General features: G+C 40.7%; 1 protein-coding gene across 6 annotated transcripts in view, besides 1 other annotated feature; it reads left to right on the top strand.

The window, feature by feature from the left end:
• Positions 1-16,685, top strand: part of UBAC2 (UBA domain containing 2) — a 185,651-nt gene that overhangs the window by 61,240 nt on the left and 107,726 nt on the right. The gene's annotated exons all lie outside the window — the stretch shown is intronic.
• Positions 206-428: a silencer, noted in NCBI's record as "fragment chr13:99914553-99914775 (GRCh37/hg19 assembly coordinates)". NCBI's record gives its function as "represses an EF-1alpha promoter that drives an FKBP-Casp9 reporter gene in an ReSE screen in phorbol 12-myristate 13-acetate-treated (for megakaryocytic differentiation) K562 erythroleukemia cells {active_cell/tissue: K562(+PMA)}" and the evidence as "EXISTENCE:reporter gene assay evidence [ECO:0000049][PMID:32094911]".

Genomic DNA, 16,685 nt, shown 5'->3' on the forward strand with positions numbered 1-16,685 from the left:
ACTGTAGACATTCCCACTCATTAGTCACTTTCATAGCCACCTTGGTGATCAGGTTTACTGTCACAGTGTCACAGTGCTTGTGTTCCAGTAACCCTTATTTAATTAATAATGGTCCCAAAACACAAAGGTACTGAGCCTAATGTATAAGTTAAACTTTATCATAGGTATGTATGTACAGGAAAAAAATAGTAAGTATAGGGTTTGGTACTATCTGCAGTTTCAGGCATCCACTGGGGGTCTTGGAATGTATCCTCTGAGAATAAGGGGGAACCACTGTATAGTTAACACCTAGTAATATGAGGAAGTGCATTTCAGAAGAAAGAGGAGGGCTGGGCACGGTGGCTCATGCCTGTAATCCCAGCACTTTGGGAGGCTGAGGCGGGTGGATCACCTGAGGTCAGGAGTTCGAGACTAGCCTGGCCAACATGGCAAAACCCTGTCTCTACTAAAAATACAAAAATTAGCTGGGCATGGTGGTGCGTGCCTATAATCCCAGCTACTCAGGAGGCTGAGGCAGGAGAATCGCTTGAACCCGGGAGATGGAGGTTGCAGTGAGCCAAGAATGCAGTGAGCTGAGGCTGAACTCCAGCCTGGGCAACAGAGCAGAACTCCCTCTCAAAAAAAAAAAAAAAAAAAAAAAAAAAAAAGGACTTGTGGAAGGTAAAGGAACAAGAGATGTGTTATCAGGTTATTTAAACATAAACCTATATAATAGTGTGTGTGGTTGAGGATTTTAGTACACAGCCATTTGTATAGTAAAAGTAAACATGTATCTATAAGGTTGAGGGTTGTTGGTTTAAGACAAGTTACTTAGGATTTTTTATTATATCTGCCATTATTCTTAACTAAATTATGAAAGGTAATCAGAGGTGACTGTCAGGCATGATTCTGAGAGCCTCACATGCTTGAGCTAACTTAACCTTCATGCTGACTGCAAAGTATGTAGTTTACATGGTGTGACCCAGAAATATTTACTCATGACTCTCAGATTGTATGTTCTTTCTGTATTTTGCATTATAATATTATACTTCGTTTTAGTAATTTTTGTTGAAGTTGGCCCTACTTAATAGAGAATCATCATAAATGGTAATTTGACTTATAGCAAACAATCTCCTGAGGGAATAGACCATCTTTTTATCTCCCTGTTTCTTGCTAATGAGTTGATATTCTCAAGGAAAGGTTTTATAGCTGGATCCTGGCAGCTCGTACATGTAATTGTGGTGTCTGGGATCTCTGCCATTCCATGGCCAAAAGACTTGAACAAGCACTTAAGAATGAGTAGATCCAAATGGTCAGCAACATGTAAATCTGCTCAACTTTTTATTAATAATTGGGAAAATGAAAATTAAAACCACAGCAGGGTATTATCCATTCGCCAGAATGCCTACGATGAAAAAGACGGACAGTGCAAAGTGCTGGCAAGGATGTTGAGTGATGAGGGTATCGAGTAACAAGGAACATTGCTGGTGGGAGTTTAAATATGGAAAACAGTTTAAGTATTAAAATGAAGATACCAACACTCCATGACTCAGAGTCCACTCCTAGGTCTATAACCAGTAAAAACACATGCTGCGTACCAGGAGACATGGACAAGAATGTTCACGGTAACATTATTTACAACAACTCCAAATTAGGAACAACCTGAATGTTCAACTATAGCATGAATAAGTCACTTGTGGTGTAGGCATAGAGTGGAGTGCAAGTCACAATCACAATTGATGATACACAGGGCAGATAGAACAACATGGATGAATCTCATGAATCTAGTGTTAAGTTGAAAAAGCCAGACATGAAGGAATTCATATCATATGATTCCATTTGTATAAATTTCAAAAAGCAGATGAAATGAAAATACAGTGCTTAGGATTTCATGCTTAGGTGGTAAACCTTTTGGGTGGGGTGTGGGCATGTGTAATAATAAGGAAGGGTCCCCCATCATCTGTATGGCAGGATCCTGGAGCTGTTGCTTTTCTTACCCTCACCACACTTAGGCCCAAAGAGATCAAGGAAGGGAGAGGTTACTAGAACTTGGAAGGAGAGACCCCAGTCAAGTCAGCTGTCTTGGAGCAGTGCTTTTCTTTTGAGAGACGGTAAGCTTGAGGTTCCCTTACAGGAAGGAACCAGGGAAATGTACACTGTGACCTCAGGTTCCTCTTGGCCTAAATCTCCCCTGAGGCTCCTGTTAGCAGGAAGCCAGGGGCCCATGAGCCTTTGCATAGAGTTTGGACCCACCAGCCTCTGGGACAGAGAACAGGCTAGGGAAGGGAAAAGAAGCAAATGGATTTTCTGGCATGCTGTACTTTTCTGTATATGTGTTACCTTTCCTATTTAAAAACTGCCTTATAGCTTGTGTAAAGTGCATGCTGTAGACACTAAGCACTAGTTCTCTTGGCTTCGTTTGTCCCCTTTTTTTCTTTGTAGCTTATTTAAATTTTTCCTGTCTTTAGACTGGGACTGGATAGCTGTGCAGGAGCCCAGCATGTGCCACTAACTGACCAGGTTGTCTTAACCATGTTAGCTCATTTCTCTGATGGTCACTCTCCCCAGGGGCAGTTGGGTGAGGCCTTCTGTGAGGGGTCATCCACTTCCGGCCTTGTGTGATTTGAAGGCATTCCTCTCCCCAACTCTTTGCATTGCAGAGAGTATTTTACCTTTGGTCTTCCTCTGAATTTCTGTAGGACTGTGGATAGGAGCCGGCAGGATAGGAGCTTGGAGGCTGCATGGAAGCCTGAATGCGTCCAGGATGCATTTCCTAAGTCCTCATCCCAGGGAGGAAAACCAAGAATGTGTCTGCTGAAGTTTGGGCCTACTCTAAATGCAAAGCACTCAGTCCCCTGATGGGGTCACATTAGTTCCTGATCTTTGCCATCGCTGTTTTTTTTTTTTTTTTTAATTGTTCTTCAGTGTGTATGTTTTTTACCATATTTTAAATTTATTTTTAAGTCGACCTCTTGGAGACATTATAATCAACCTTTAGAGGAAGACGTGTTGTTTTTTTCTTGGTAATAAAACTGCATTGATTTTGGTTACTCAGACAAGGTATTTACCAGAACTCTCCCTTGTATGCTTATAAAATAAAACTAGTACTCCATTCAGTTGAATATTTGCAGCAATGTTATCTTCTTATTGCTAATACCATTTGTATGGGTAGACTTTATGAGAAGTTTATGACTTTCAGCTCATACAGCTTCTTGCGCTCAGCAAGCCACAGTCTAAAGAGAGTCTTAACTGAGAAGGGAAGGAAGGAGGCAGGCAGGACCACCCTGAGACCCACAGGCCAGCTGCCGCTGTGCTTCTTTGGAAAAAAGGTTCTCAGACTGTGTTGGCTTACATCTTTCTGCCTCTGGTGTAGGATTTGCTCTTCTAACATGAATGGAACATTTGATTTAGGATCAGTAATTACAGGTTTTAGAACTGGAGTTTGAAGTATCTGTGACACATCTCTCTTTGACAGTCATGTGGGTACTGATCCCTGATTGCACTTTCACCCCTTTTCTTCTTCTTGTTCTCGTTTTGTGTGTGCCTTGTGAACAAGGACCTGGCACGTGCGTCTTCAAACGTTTCAGCGCATCTAGAGTAGTGCTTCACCCAGCAGGCCCTCAGTTAACAGGCATATGGATTCGACTGGTGTTTGTGTTTTTCTGTAAGAAAGGTTATGCCATGTCTCAAAAAATGAATGGCTAATGTTTCTAGGTAGATACAATTACAAAGACGTACCAAATAAAATAATGAGACAAAAAGAAATAGGTAGATTGGGATTGGCTGTGTAGAGGTTTTAAGGTAAAAGTGGGCAAGTTAAAAAGGTTTCGTATCAGAGAAGTTAGTTGCAATTTATTGAATGTAGGAGTACTCACACAGTTTATTTGAATATGAAATAGATCCAGATTTCTTATGTATGGTCTCCGGTTTTCCATACCGATTGATAGTTCAGGGCTGCTTTGACATAAATACTGTGCTTCTACTGCCACCTACAGATGATTAGTGGGTCTTGGAGCTCTTCACCTTTACCCCTTCTAAAGTCTCTTTGAAATTGAAATAATTTTTTTTAAAAGCTATTAATTGGTAGAATATTATAAAATATTTTAATGTTACTTTATGAATATTTCTATATTATATTACATAATACTATATAATATGTAGCTTTATATAATAGATATGAATGTATTCCTCTAAAACAAGGTGGCCAATCTTCTGGCTTCCCTTGGCCACATTGGGAGAACTGTCTTGGGCCACACATAAAATACACTAACACTAATGATAGCTGATGATCAAAAAAAAAATCATGGAAAAAACTCATAATATTTTAAGAAAGTGTACTAATTTGTGTTGGACTGCATTCAAAGCTGTCCTGGGCCCATGTGGCCCATGGGCTGCAGGTTGGACAAGCTTACTCTAAAACATTTTGGCTTGTAGACCATTTCTGCCCTCTTTGGAAGCATCCTCTTTTTTAGGAAACAGTTTTTCTCTGTAGGACTATGTGTATTCCTGGGCTAGGGCCTTGAGAAGATTCCATTTTAACTCTTATTTGTATCTGATATTATACTAAGATATTAAACATAAATGTGGCCTTAGAACAAATTTGACATGTTAAATATATATATATATGTATTAGACAATTTATCGTCTTAACCATGTTTAAATGTGCAGTTCAGTAGTGTTAAGTTCATTCACACTGCTGTGCAGCCAACCTCCAGGACATTTTCATCTTCCCAGACTGAAAGCCTGTACCCATCATACAGCAAATATCTCTTCAGTCCCTACTTTCAGTTCTTTTGGGTTATATCCCTGAAAGTGAAATTGCCGGATCGTGTGGTAATTCTGGTTTTAGTTTGTTGGGGAATGGCTGTATCGTTTTCCCCAGCAGCTGCACCAGCAACACAATGCCCAGTTTCTCCCTATCTTGGCTCGCAGGCACACCTCTCTCACACTCGCCCTTCCCTCCCCTCCCTCCCTTCCTTTCCTGTAGTAGCCATCCTCATGGGCATAAGGTGGTGTCTCATTGTGGTTTCATTTCCATTTCCGATGATGAGTGACTTCAAGAATCTTTTCATGGGCTTCTTGGCCATTTATATATATTTCTTCTTTAGAGAATTGCCTATTCAAGTTCTTTGCCCATTTGTTAATCTTTCTTGGTTGTTGAGCTGTAGGAGCTCTTTATGTAATCTAGATGTTAATCCCTTATCAGATGATTTGCAAATATTTTTTCTCTTACTCCGTAGGGTGCCTCTTTTCTTTGTTGATTGTGTCCTTTGATGCAATTTTTGGAGCATATTTTAGGCTTGCTCATTTATCATATTTTGATGATAAGGATGAATTTCATAGCTTTAGATTTCTAAATGGTGAGGGGAAGGGAGGGGAGGTTATCCTGAGTAAAATCAATGAGTCCTTTTGGAACCTTTCCTCATGACTTAAGCCGAAGCAGTATTTTCCTGCAGTCCTCAGCACCTTTGCCTTGTCCAGGAGGATATAAGTAAGGAAGGAAGAAACTAGCTCTGTTCCAGAGTCTGCTCACTTCAGAGCCTTCCACTTGCTACTGCTGCTTTCTTATGCTCTGAAAGGTATCTGCCTTTATTATTATAGTCATTTGAAATTGAAAGAGTAACATTTATCTTTTTGTAGCATTCTTGGTCCCTGCTGTTCTGATTAATATTTTATCAGTGATAAAAAATACCAAAATATAGTGTGTTTGCTCATCAGATTTGCAAATTACAAAAACTAGGAGGATATTTCAGTAATGGTGGAGGCTAAGCTTCTGTAACAAACCGCTGACACAGTGGCTCAAAGAGCGCAGATGTTCATTTCACTTTTGTAACCACCCTGTGGGGTAGGCAGGCTCTGTACCGGTAAGTCGTCAAGGGCCTGGTCTGGTGGAGCACCTCTGCTTTCCTCAACATGTGCCTTCCAAGGAGGCTCCATGGCTTCTGCTTCCAGCTGGTGTGGAAGAAAGAAGGGGCATGCAGGAGGAGGGATTGCCTTTCCCCAGGTGCCTTCAAGGTTGCAGATGTCACTCCTGCTCCCAAACCATTGGCAAGAACTTGGTCACGTGGCCACACCTAATCACAGGGAGGCTGGGAGATGTAATCTTACCTGGGCAGTTGTGTCCCTGGAGATAAGGGAACAGTGGGTTTTCGGGGAGCTGCTAGCAGTCTTCTCAGAAGAACAATAGCTCTAACACATTAGCTGCCTCAGCAAGCTGGAGTTTTGGGCTTTATAGTCAAAATATGAAACATAGAAGGAGGCCAGGCATGGTGGCTCTCACCTGTAATCTCGGCATTTTGGGAGGCCAAGGCAGGCAGATCGTTTGAGTCCTGGAGACCATCCTGGGCAACATAGCAAAACCTTGTGTTTACATAAAATACAAAAAATTAGCCAGGCGTGGTGGCATGTGCCTGTAGTCTCAGCTACCTAGGAGGCTGAGGTGGGAGGATCACCTGAGCCTGGAGGGCCGAGGCTGCAGTGAGCCATGATCCTGTCACTGCACTCCATTCAGCCTGGGCTACAGAGTGAGACTCTGTCTCAAAAAAAAAAAAAAAAAAAAAAAGAAACACAAAAGGTAAAGAAGGTAAGAGAGAGAACATTAGGTCTTTCTCTTGAGTCTTAAAAATCAGCTGTAGAGGCACTGAATGATAGAGTTGTTTGGCTTGTGAAATGGCATCATGGAGTGACTGCCAGTTGACACTAATATGCCCCTAGATGCCATTTGTAGGATTACAGGGAAACAAGGATGTTGCTGGTGGTCCAGGTTGGCATCAGGATGGGGTGGAGATGGAGATTGGCCATGGGAGAAACAGGTGGAGAACAGGCATTGCTTACCCCAGAGAGAAGAAACTGGGGCAGAACTGTCTTCCACTGTTGAAAGGGCTGCCCAGTGAAAGAGGAGTTAAATAAGGGGGGAATGGCCTGTGGTGAATGAAGACCACGGGGACATGCTACGGGATATAGCTTTGGGCTTGGCATAAGGAGTAACTTTGCAGCACTCACTGTCTCAAGATGAGGTGATCTCCCTTGGGAGCTGCTGAATTTGACACTGAGGATACTCAGGCTGTGGCTGGGAGAGTGCGAGGCAGGGGTGTTGCAGGAAGTCCACTCATTGGTAGGTACCACAAATGGAGTGCCTATGAAATCCCTTTAAACCGTGAGCATTCTGTGGTTTAAATGAGCTATATTCTGATTCTGTGCTCTTCTTTATTGTGAGATTCATAAGTAGGCTTAGAGAACTAGAGAAATTAATTGGAGTCCAGCCAAGGGACCGCATTTCCCAGGATGTTCTGTGCAGCCTAGTACTGGTACAGCAGAACTTGTTCCAGGACATAATTCACTGCAATGTAGAGTTATTATTATATTTCTCAAATTCTGTAATACAAAGAGGTTTGATATTTTTTCTATATAATCTAAGTGATTGATTTTTTGCTTTCTTATAAGCAAGGGGTATTTTTAAATTTTGAAGTACGTACTTCCAGAAAGTCTTTATAAATACTTAAAGAGGAATAGAATGAGAAAATCCTGACACCATTAAGGTAAGAGCTAAATAATGAGTTGGTAGGGTGACATATTTGAAACATTTATAAAATAAAATATTCAAAATAAATTACATTTTTCATATTATTACTACGAATTCTTACAGAACTTCAATCTAGACTGTAAGCTTCCATGTTAAAGCTGTTTTCCCCTTTCTGAAATGAGCATGCTCAGCAGTTCAGTAGGCATTGCCTGCAGTAACACTGCACTAGATGGCAGTGTTACATAGAACTTGATAAAAGCTTTAACTCCTCTAAAATAAGTTATTAAATGGGGATCATATGGTGAAACATTTTTGTAATAAATAACAGAATGGTATTATACTTTATACAAACACCTTTAACAGTTTGATACCCTGTGACTATTTCATAAAGGCGTGTGCTGTAGTTAGAATTAAAAACTGGTATTGTGTATGTGTGTTAATTTTTCCTAAACAACACAATAAAGTATTTTAAACACCACTGGTATAGCAATTGTGAAACTCCTATGATGTAAACCTAAGAATGATTTTTAGTTCTGATTATTCATGGGCTCAGCTCAGCACAGTTCCAAATTTTAACTACGTAAGGTGAGGCAACACACTACTTGGCCCTAATAGTAACATTAAAGAAAAAAATAATCATTATCTGAAAATTATTGAGCTAATCAAAGAGAATTGTAAGCAGATATTTTTATCAAGGGCATATGGTAATATTGTTTGCCATTTTGTGTCTCTTTGAAGTCTTATATGAACCACAGACTGTTTTCACTAGAATGCACATGTATGTAAATGTTAATAAGAAAATAATTGGAATTTAGCAGAGGTGAATATTATGGTCACATTTATAGTCATCAGCTTTTGTCTTCCTAAATAATGCTCCTTAGCTAATTCTTGGGCACAGATCAAGTGTTAGATTTTAATTACTACTTTTTACATTTCTATATCAATGTCCAAGATTATAGTGGTATCAACAACAAGTAGAATATTTTCAAAACCCAGAAAGTAAGTAAGTAGGGAACGAGAGTTTGTACTTAGAAACATAGTTAGATAGAAATTGATGGTTGATGGTGTGGACATGCACATGAGTTCTGAAGAAGAATAAAAATAAGGAACAGGAAGCTGAACTGTAAAAGATGATTTTCAGTACATTGCGTACTTTTATTAACTTAGAAAATATGCTAATCTTTTATGGTAAATTATGGAGGAAGTCAATTTCAGTCATGTTTTAGGAGAAGAAAGAATTTCCAAAGTGAGGAAGAGAATAGCTTGACACTTCCTTGTATAAAGTAGCCACTTAGTAAATGTTTGGGTATTTATGCATGCATGAATGAATGAGAGAATTCTACCTCATATTTTACAAGAGCAATCGGCTCTTTTCTGATTTCCCCAATCTTTTTGCATTCTCTTTTCCTCTTGTTAAATTATTTGTTGAGCACCTACTTTATGATAAGCCTTGTTCTGGGCTCTGAGGATCCTGCACTGATCAAAGCAGACAAAATCTTTGTCCTCATCGACTGTACATTGTAATTGAGGGTAAAAGACAGTAAACAAAATAAAAATTTGTAATATATATATGCCAGATCATGATCTGTGTTGTACAAAACTAAATAAACTAGGGAAGGGAATGCCAGGGTGTGAGTGGGATTGCAGTTTTAATAATTCTAGTAAGGAAAAGCTTCAGAAATCAGGTAATATTTGAGCAAAGACCTGAAGGGGTCAAGGTGTGAGCTATGTGGAGATATTGGGGAAAGTATTCCAGATATCAGAGACTGCCAGTGCCAAGGCCCTCAGGTGGAGATGGGACCATCCCGTACGTGGACAGCTGGAGCAGAGTGATGGGGGGATGGGGTGTGGGAAGATAGCAGGAGATGAGGCCAGGGAGGTAAGAGTGGTCACTGTCCTGTCAGGCCATTGTACTAATTTTGGCCTTTAATCAGGGCATTCGGGAGCCATTGCATGATGCTTTGGGAGATGAAGTCATGTTGGCCTGTGCTTTCTTTTCATTGTTTCCCATTCTTTTTTAAAAAAGCACTTAATCATTTTATACATACTTAGAGTTTTTAAATTGTTTTTCACTTCTGCTTCTCAGGTTATCAAATTCTCCCTCAGGGTAGTCTGTTGTTTCTTAGAGTTTTAATTTTTTATTGTGAACTCATTTTCAGTGGTTTCATTTGCTCTTCGAGTCCCCATGTCCCCCAGCTCACAAAAGTATCTCTGTTGAGGGATTTTGTGTTTACTACTGCTGGGTCCTGAGGGGTTTTTGTTGCCTGGATTAGCTTTTATATTATTTTCTTACCTTAGAGCTCCCAGACCATTCAAGTGGGGGTAAATCTAGGCCACAAATTCAGGTATGATGTTGGCCTTAGATTTTAATTTTTTGTTAGGACTGTTTGATCTTTTTGTTTCCAAGGCTTTTAATGTAAGCTAACTTTCTTTGTTGTTTCAGCAGACTATAAATGGAATATTTTTAGTCTTCTCTCTAAAAGACAGTGATCTTTGATGGTCTGGGCTCAGTCCCAGCTCTCTTTCCTTGAGCTGCTTAAGGTCACCTCTTTTAGCTCTACTAGACCTAAAAATCCCAGCCCTCAACTCCAGGGGCTTGTATCTAGGTCAAGTGCCTTGTGGGCCACTAAAGCAGCCCATATTTTAATTTCTATCTTTGTTTCTGATATCTGGGTTCATTAGAGAAATTTTTAAGCATGTATAAGAAAGGAGAGAACACTGTAATGAACCCCATGTTTCAACATCACCCACTTTCAACACTGATCAACTCATGGCCACCTTGTTTTATCTATATCCTTAATCTTAAGCCATTCTCATGGGCCTGTGACAGACTCTCTTTGGCATATAAACCCAGGAGCAGGAATGTAGGGTCATAGGATATATGAGTGTCTTAGTAAACTCGTGCTGTCATAGAGTGGGTGGCTTACACAGAAATTTATTTTCTCACAGTTTTGGAGGCTAGAAGTCCAAGATCAGGATGTTGGCATGGTCAAGTTCTGGTGAGGGCCTGCCGTCTTCCTGACTTGCAGATGGCCACCCTCTTGCTGTGTCCTTACATGGCTGAGAGAGCTCACTTTGGTCTCTCTTCCTCCTCTTACAAGGGCACTAATCTCATCATGGGGGCCCCACCCTCATGACCTCACCTAAACCTAATTGCCTCCCAAAGGTCCTACCTCCAAATACCACCACATTGGGGGCTAGTGCTTCAACATATGAATTTAGGGGTGGGGGGAGACAAAGTTCAGTGCACAGCAGCATGTATATTGTGTGTGTATGTGTACATTGTGAGTCTGTGTGTGTATCTGCTTTACTCTCTATTCCATTGGTCCGTGTGTCTGTTCATGCTCTAGTATTTTTAGCCATTTTGTTTTTGTAGTATGTATTGATATCTAGTAGAACAGGTTACTCTTTTTTTTTTTTTGGTTCATCTTTTCAAGATTAACCTAACTATTCTTCTGTATAAATTTTAGAGTAAGTTAATCAGTTATCTTTAAAAATTCAGCTGGAATTTGAGATATTAATATTTTCTTTTATCTCTTCTATTAGTATACCTATTAATATATTTTATAACTTGAGGTTCATCTTTTCTAAAAATGTTGCTTTCCTAGTTGGTAATATTATTCAGTTTGTTTCTTTTTTGTTGCGACTGTGTTCTAAGGTTGCCTAGTGATTTTGGCCTCTTAGCTCATGTTTCCCTGAAAGGTGTTAAACCACTTTGGCAGAGTCAGATTAGGTTAAGAGGGGCAGTGAGCACCCAGGATAGAGAATCCACAGCCACTGCAGGACCTTTGTGATCCACTCCTGTTTGGTGAGGTTCCAGAGGTGTCTTGGCTAGTGAGGGATTCATTTTTAAACTCTCAGAAATTAGCAGTATTGAGAGTAAGCGGTTTCTTTATATGGTAGTTTGCCTGTCCTGGGGGAAAGGAAAGATGTAGAGGAAGAAATGATTAAGGAAATGCTATCTCTTGGTAGGTACCTACCTCTTAAGGTAGGTACCTTGCAGTGTGGCTGTTGATGAATTTAGTGTTGATCTGATTATTAATACTTTGTGACAGTTTTGATGAGGTGCTTTGGAGTGATGAATCCAAGCAGATTCATCCATTTGGGTTGTACACTTGGTGTGGGCCCTGTCAAACAGGTGATCCCTGTATTTCTCTTCTTGAATTTTTCCTGAATTATTTTGATCACCTCCTCTTCCATTTTTCTCAGTTCTTTCTGGAAATCCTATTACCTAGATGTTCAGTCTCCTGGACAGGTCCAGTTTTCATCTTTTTTTTTTTTTTTCCTGCTTTCTTTCTCTGTGTTTTTGCTCTCCTTGCTGGGAGGTTTCCTGGGTTCTACCTTGCAATTATTCTAATTAATATTTTAAAATAAATTTTTATTGAGGTATAAATGTATATATCTTGAGTCCAGAGCTCACAGACTTTTTACAAAGTGACACCTTCTAAGCACCATCCAGTTGAAGAACAGAATGTGACCCACTCCCTAAAAGGTCCACTTTTGCTACCTTACAGTTACTCCTTCCTCCCAGAAGTCTACACTGACTTTTAACACCCTGATCTAGTTTTGTCTGTTTTTAAACTTTACATAATAGAGATGTGGACTCTTCTGTATCTTGCTTATTTTTTTCAGTATTCTGTTTAGTTTCACCTGTGTTGCTGTATGTACCTGTAGTTAATTTTTTTTCCATTATTGGTATAGTATTTTGGTGTGTGAATACCACCATCTATCCATTCTACTGCTTTTTTTTTTCTTGAGATAGGGTCTTGCTCTGTTGCCCAGGCTGGAGTGCAGTGGCATGATCACAGCAGCCTCGACCTCCTGGGCTCAAGTAATTCTCCTGCCTCAGCCTCCCCAGTAGCTGAGACTACAGATGCACTCCACCAGGACTGGCTAGTTTTTTTTATTTTTAGTAGAAACAAGGTCTTGCTATGTTGCCCAGGCAGGTCTTGAATTCATGAGCTCAAGTGATCCTCCTGCCTTGGCCTTCCAAAGTGTTAGGATTACAGGCATGAGGCACGTGCCTGGCCTCATAATACTGTTAATGTTAATGGACATTGGGATTGTTTATAATTTGGGAATAGTACAAATACTGTTATTATGAATATCCTTTTTCCTTTTCTTTTCTTTTTTTTTTTTTTGAGACAGGGTTTCACTGTTGCCCAGGCTGGAGTGTGGTGGCACGCAGTCATGGTTCACTGCAGCCTCAACTACCTGGCCTCAGGTGATCCTCCCACCTCAGCCTCCCAAGTAGCTGGGATTACAGGTGCGCACCACCACTCCCAGCTAATTTTTGTATTCTTTGTAGAGATGAGGTTTCTCCATGTTGCCCCGGCTGGTCTCAAACTCCTGTGCTCAAGCAGTCCTCCCACCTCCACCTCCCAAAGTGCTGGGATTATAGATGTGAGCCACTGCATGCAGCTTGAATGTCTTTGAACATGTCTTTTGTTGCATATATGTATGCATTTCTGCTGGGTATGTACCTAGGAGTGGAAAGCAGAATCATAGTGTATACATATGTTTAGATTTGGAAGATACTGCTAGTTTTCCTGTGGGTCAGGCATTTAAGAGCAGTTTAGCTGGGTGATTCTGGCCTAGAGTCTCTCATGTGGTTGTACTCAGGATGTCAGGGACCACAGTCATCTTCAGGCTTTACTGGGATTGGAAGACTCACAGTGCTGTTGGCAGGAAGCCTCAGCTCCTCACCACGGAGCTGCCTCCTGACATAGCAGCTATTACAGCTTCCCCCAGGTGAGTGGTCCAAGAATGTTGCAGTCCTTTTAATTTTAGTCATTCTAGCAGATGTGTGGTGATATATTTTTGTGATTTCAGTTCACATTTCCTTGATGACAAATGAGATTGAGTAGGTTTTCATTTATTGGTTTGTTGTTTTGGTTTTCTTAAAAATATTTATAACCTATTTTAAATTTTTATTAGCTCTTTATTTTTTGAATATTCATTTTTCCTGACATCCTGTTTTCATTTTGTGGATGCGATATTTTTTATCCCTCTCATATTGAGGATAGTTTCTTCACTACCTGCCTCTTCTACCCACCCCCCAGGTTTTATTTCTCTACACAGTTTATGTTTCTTCTGAGTTCCTTTTTACCTCTTTGTTTTCTGCTTTTGATGTCAGGAGTTTTCCTTACATATCTCTAAGCCTTTGATTATCTGTTTGGATTTAAGATCCAGCTTTTTAAAAGCTGATTGGAGTCTCGGGATGAGGTCCTCGATGACCATGGGCTCTGTCATAAGGTCCCCTGGTGAGGATGTTTGGGAATGCCAGTGTCAGGATCTGTGCATTTGTTTCTTCCCTGCTCACCACCAATGGGTTGGTCAGATTCCCCAGATCATACTCTCCACTCTAATACCTGTAGGGTGTAAGCCTGGGAGTCTTAACATTTACTAATAAACCTTGACTTGAGTGGACAAATTTTGATTTTTAGTATTGTATTTGTACTGTCAGTGGTGTCTGTGAGTCCCTCCAGTCTCAAGACCTTCCGTTTTTCTGCTTCTAAATAATAAATCTCCAGCCATCTGCCAAGATGGGGAGAGGCAGTGAGGGGTGTTTTCCAACGCTAACAAGTAGTACTCCAGTTCTTCTGAGTGTCCAGCAGTTCAATTCAGTTCTGACACTTTCTACCTGGAGTTAGTATCAGATCCTACAAGTCAAAGAGCTCAGTCTCAGAAGACTGTCTCCACTTCAGATGCCAGTCACACGTTTCAGGACATCTGTTCTTCTGACTGACCCGCTGTAAATTGGGGGTTCCCACAAGGTCTGTACCCCCACCAGGTCTGATACATTTGCAGGAACGTCTCACAGAACTCAGGAACGTATTTTACTTACGTTTATTGGTTTATTATAAAGGATACAACGCAGGAACAGCCAAATGGAAGGGCAAGGTGCGAGGGTGGGTGAGAGTGCACGGAGCTCTCGTGCCTTCTGTGGGCACCCCACCCTCTCAGCACTTCCATGTATTCACCAACCCAGAAGCTGTCTGAATTTCACTGCAGAAGAGTTTTTATAGGGCTCCATCTCCCACCACCCCACTTCCTGGAGGCTGGTGGGTGGTGCTGAAAGTTCCACCCCTCTAGTCACTTGGTCTTCCTGCTGGTCGGCCAGCTCCATCTGAGGCTATCCAGGGGCTCTACCTAAATAACCCATTAGGGTAAATTCAGATGTGGTTGAAAGGGGCTCATTATGAAGAAGAAAAGGCACTTCTGTCACTTAGGTGATGCCGAAGATTTTTTGGGAGCCAAACACCAAATACATTTTTGTAGAATACCACAGCCAGCCAGCAGGTGGGTAGAGTTCAGGGGGTGGCTGTGCAGTGCTCTGCCTTCCTCTTAGCACTTCTGGAAAGCCCTGGCCCTGCAACCTTTGGGAAGTCAAATGTTAATCAGGTTGCCTCTCAGATTTCACCACTGGTGGCTTAGTATTTGGTTTTCTCAGGTTTGCCAAGATAGCTACCCTGTATAGTGTTGCTGTTTTCTAACTTAGAAAAATTTTTAGGATCATCTACTCTTCATCTTTGTGGGCTTATACCTTTAAAAAAAATCCTTTTAATGTCACTCTTATGAGATTTTAGGAAAGAACAGAGGAGATAAATATGTATGTTCAAACTACCATCTTTAAAAGGCAATATTAAGGCCAGGTGCAGTGGCTCATGCCTGTAATCCCAGCACTTTGGGAGGCCGAGGCAGGTAGATCACCTGAGGTCAGGAGTTCGAGACCAGCCTAACCAACATGGAGAAACCCCGTCTCTACTAAAAATACAAAATTAGCCGAGCATGGTGGCACATGCCTGTAATCCCAGCTACTAGGGAGGCTGAGGCAGGAGAATCGCTTGAACCTGGGAGGCGGAGGTTACAGTGAGCCGAGATCACACCATTGTACTCCAGCCTGGGCAACAAGAGGGAAACTCCATCTCAAAAAATAAATAAATAAAATAAAATAAAAGGCAATATTGGTTTTTAAAAAGGTGTGTGTTTTAAGAATACTTGCAGTTGTGAAATCATTTTTTTCTCCATTGATAGTTACCTCTACAATCATTCAGACATTTTATTAAGGCCATTTTACATTGTGTCATCCTCCAGCATCACTCTCTTACTTGAAATAAAATAGGCCTTGTAATCACTGTGCTCTATTGTCTCACTTTCTGGGCCTACTTACTGGGGCTTTGAGTATTTCAGGCACTCTTGCCCCATCCCCTCTGTCACCACCCGCAAGCCTCATCAAGCCTCTAATCTGGAGGTGGGTGGTGGTAAATGAGCAAGAGGGAACTTGCTTAGTCTCGGGATCCATCTGTAGGAACATAACGTTCTTCTAATATCTGCAGATACCCAGTTTCTGCAGGATAAATTTCCTCATGGTCTCCCCATAGAAGGGCCTTTCCTGCTGTTCTCGATGAGCAGATTAATGTAGGGCACAGGTCTTACCTTCTCCATGTTTTCCAGTTCTGCCTCTTGCATTGCACAGGATAAAGCTTTCCAGGACTAGGCACAGATAATTTCGGAAGCTAAGAAATAGCTGTGATGGTGACACCAACATTATTCTGTGGATTAATTTGGTTATTTAGACCTATTTAAAAGAATCCATTATAGGTATTTTATGTAATATTTTTCTTAAATTTGTAGTCCTGTGTGTGGCTTTCATTTGGGCTATGCTATTATTAATTAACTGTTACCACATTATTAATACATGTGGCAATAGAGTTGGTACCAGGCAGTGGTATTCACTTTCTCGGGCGCGTGAAGGGATTGCCTGTCTGGAGGTGAGGGCTAGTCAGAGAGTAGCAGCACACCTACAATCATCTGTGGTCATCTCGAATTGCAACCGTTGGAGTATTTTTAAGGGAAGTGGGTATTGTGGGCAAAGTTAGCAATAAGTGACAGTTAGCTTTCTAAATTATTGTGTCTCTGCTTTGAATTTGGGCTAAATAGCCAACATATAAATAATCATCATAGCTTGAAAAATGATCAGTGTCTTTAAAAGTGAAAAAAAGTGATATTTCTCAACCTAAAAATAGGACTACCTGGATCTCCAAATTTGAAGCGATCACATTAACATGTTTGGAATAATAGATTAGATAAGTTGAATGGATAGATATTTTAGATATCTTCTCTCCTTTAATTCCTATTTAAAAAATAAACTTTGTTGATAGGGTTATATCTGTTTTACTGG

Source organism: Homo sapiens, chromosome 13 (genome assembly GCF_000001405.40).
Source record: "Homo sapiens chromosome 13, GRCh38.p14 Primary Assembly".
In the NCBI taxonomy this organism is placed as follows: domain Eukaryota; kingdom Metazoa; phylum Chordata; class Mammalia; order Primates; family Hominidae; genus Homo; species Homo sapiens.